The sequence below is a fragment of the Homo sapiens genome, chromosome 17 (assembly GCF_000001405.40).
Source record: "Homo sapiens chromosome 17, GRCh38.p14 Primary Assembly".
NCBI classification, from domain to species: domain Eukaryota; kingdom Metazoa; phylum Chordata; class Mammalia; order Primates; family Hominidae; genus Homo; species Homo sapiens.
Genome location: NC_000017.11, coordinates 7,083,311 through 7,086,741, shown reverse-complemented (window position 1 = coordinate 7,086,741; position 3,431 = coordinate 7,083,311).

Below are 3,431 nucleotides of genomic sequence, written 5' to 3'. Positions count from 1 at the left end.
CCCGTCTCTACTAAAAATACAAAAAATTAGCCGGGCATGGTGGCGGGCACCTTTAGTCCCAGCTACTTGGGAGGCTGAGGCAGGAGAATGGAGTGAACCCGGGAGGTGGAGCTTGCAGTGAGCCAAGATAGCGCTGCCACTGCACTCCAGCCTGGGCGACAGAGCGAGACTCCGTCTCAACAACAACAACAACAAAAAGAAAATGAGAAGATGCTGCATTCAAAACAATGCTTAGATGAAATTTTACAACATTCATTGCTTATACTAGAAAAAGAGAAAGGGCCAAAAATCAAAGAATCTAAGCTTCTACCTTAAGAGACCAGAAAAAGATGTTTATATCCAATGTACAAACATGAAGAAAATAAGAGCGGAAGTCAATGAAATAAACAAACAAGGAAAATTAATTATACCAGAAACTGTTTCTGAAAAGATCAATAAAATTGATAAAATTGATAGAAAAAAAGTGTGAAGACATAAATTGCCAGTGTTGGCCAGGTACAGTGCTCATTCCTGTAATCTCAGCACTTTGGGAGGCCAAGGTGGGCAGATCACTTAAAGCTGAGAGTTTGAGACCAGCCTGGCCAACGTAGTAAAACCCCATTTCTACTAAAAATACGAAAATTGGCCGGGTGTGGTGGCTCACGCCTGTAATCCCAGCACTTTGGGAGGCCGAAGCAGGCGGATCCCGTGGTCAGGAGATCGAGACCATCCTGGCTAACACGGTGAAACTCCGTCTCTACTAAAAATACAAAATGGTGGCGGGCGCCTGTAGTCCCAGCTACTCGGGAGGCTGAGGCAGGAGAATGGCGTGAACCCGGGAGGCGGAGCTTGCAGTGAGCCGAGATCGTGCCACTGCACTCCAGCCTGGGCAATGAGCGAGACTCTGTCTCAAAAAACAAACAAACAAACAAAACGAAAATTAGCTGGGCATGGTGGCGCACGCCTGTAATCCCAGCTACTTGGAAGGCTGAGGCGCAAGAATCTCTTGAATCTGGTAGGCAGAGGCTGCATGAACCGAGATCATGCCACTGCACTCCAGCCTGGGCAACAGAGTGAGACTCTGTCTCAAAAACAAACAAACAAACCCCCAAATTGCCAGTGTTAAGAATGAAAGAAAATATAAGGCCGGGCGCAGTGGCTCACGCCTGTAATCCCAGCACTTTGGGGGGCCGAAGCGGGCAGATCACAAGGTCAGGAGATCGAGACCATCCTGGCTAACATGGTGAAACCCTGTCTCTACTAAAAATACAAAAAAAAAAAATTAGCCAGGCGTGGCGGCGGGCGCCTATAGTCCCAGCTACTCGGGAGGCTGAGGCAGGAGAATGGCGTGAACCCGGGAGGCAGAGCTTGCAGTGAGCCGAGATGGCGCCACTGCATTCCAGCCTGGGCGACAAGTGAGACTCCATCTCAAAAAAAAAAAAAAGAAAGAAAATATAAATACAGCTCCTACATACATCAAAAGGATAATATGAACAACTTTTTGCCAATAAATTTGCCCATAAATAGAATAAAATGGAAAAATTACTTGAAAGATACACATTACCAAAACTAAAAACGCAATAGGAAATCTGAACAGACTTTCCTGAATTCAAATAAATTCACAATTTAAAATCTTTCAACAAAGAAAATATCCAGTTTCAGATGACGTCTCTGATGAATTCTATCAACTATATAGGTAGAAATAATTAAATGGAGAAAAGTATTTTCAATAAATGGTGCTGGAACAACTGTATATATATGAAAAAATCTAATTCATAATGATCATAGACACACATCAAAGCTGAAACTATAAAAATTATCGAAGAGAACACAGGCTGGGCATGATGGCTCACACCTGTAATCCCAGCACCTTGGGAGGCTGAGGTGGGAGGATTGCTTGAGGCCAGGAGTTTGAGACTAGGCTGGGGAACAATAGTGAGATCTGTTCTCTACACAGTAAAATGTTTAACTAGTGTGGTGGTGCATGCCTGTAGTCCTAGCTATTCAGGAGGCTGAGGCGGGAGGATCACTTGAGCCCAGGAGGGGCTGTTTCTCTTGGATTTTTAAAGTAGACAATCATGTCATTTACCAATAATGACAGTTCTCTTTCCCTTTCAACCTTCATATGTTCCAATCACTTGTCTTTCTGTATGGTCTGGAAGAATCTCATGGAGAACTGGTGGCACGAGCGTGCTTTCTCTTGTTCCTAGCTTAAAAAAAAAAAAAAAAAGTCCTGACCAGTAGCGGTTCTAGGAGAGGGTAAGAATTTGCGGAAAATGTGGCGGAAGAGGGAAACGATCATTGTCAACAGTGAAAGGGGTCTCAGGGACAGAAGCATTTAGGAAAGAAAAGAAGATTGCTTGCCAAGACCTGGCAAATAAATCAGGCTTTAGAAGGACAGGCTTGCCAAACTAAAACCACAACAAGTATTGAAAGGGAAATTCTCCAAGATTACCATTGTGAGCACGTTTTTATCAGTCTACTCATGATGGCAAAACCCAGCGCTTTTCTCACATGATTTTCATATGCACGAAAGGTCATGACCTACCCAGGCGTCAGCATTGCAAACATCAGGGTTAGAGTTGTTTTTCTAGGGAGTCAGCAATTTATAGAAAATGCTCAATGTTTAGTTTATTTTGGGGACTAGAAGAACTATTTTTTTCATGAAACCCGCAAGCAATTTATCAGCGAAATTCTGTCTGCTCTACCTTCACAATATATCCAGAATCACAACACTTCTGACCACCTCATTTCTCACCTGGATATGACAGCAGCTTCTTACCTAGACTCTCTGTTTCCAGCTTGTTTCATCAAATTCACAACACAAAAGCCACACCGTTACAGTTAACATATGTCAGGTTATGTCATTCCTCTGCTCCAACCCCTTCAAAGTCTGCATCTCTGACTCAGAGTAAAAACAAGTCCTTAATAACAGCCAACAAGGCTCACATTTTCCCCCATCGCTCATCTACTCTTCTCCTCCCTGACTCACTTCTCTATAAAATCTCTGGCAAGTCTGTCAAATGGATGATCCTCATACACACCAGACGTTCTCCCACCTCAGGGCCTTTGCACTTGCTCTGCCCGCTCCCTGCATCACTCTTCCTGCCAGAGCCCCTTGTGACTTGCTTCCTTACCTCCTTCAAACTTTGCTCAGATATCACCTTCCCAGTGAGGCCTTTCTTGACACTCTGGTATGGTTTGGATCTGTGTCCCCGCCCAAATCTCATCTTGAATTGTAATCCCCGATGTTGGAGGTGGGGCCTGGTAGGAGGTGATTGGATTATGGGATGGATTTCTCATGAATGGTTAGCACCATCTCCTTGGTGCTGTTCTCATGATAGTGAGGGAGTTCTCGTGAGATCTGGTCTTTTTTTTTTTTTTTTTTTTTTTGATGGAGTCTTGCTCTGTTGCCCAGGCTGGAGTGCAGTGGCGCGATCTCGGCTCACTGC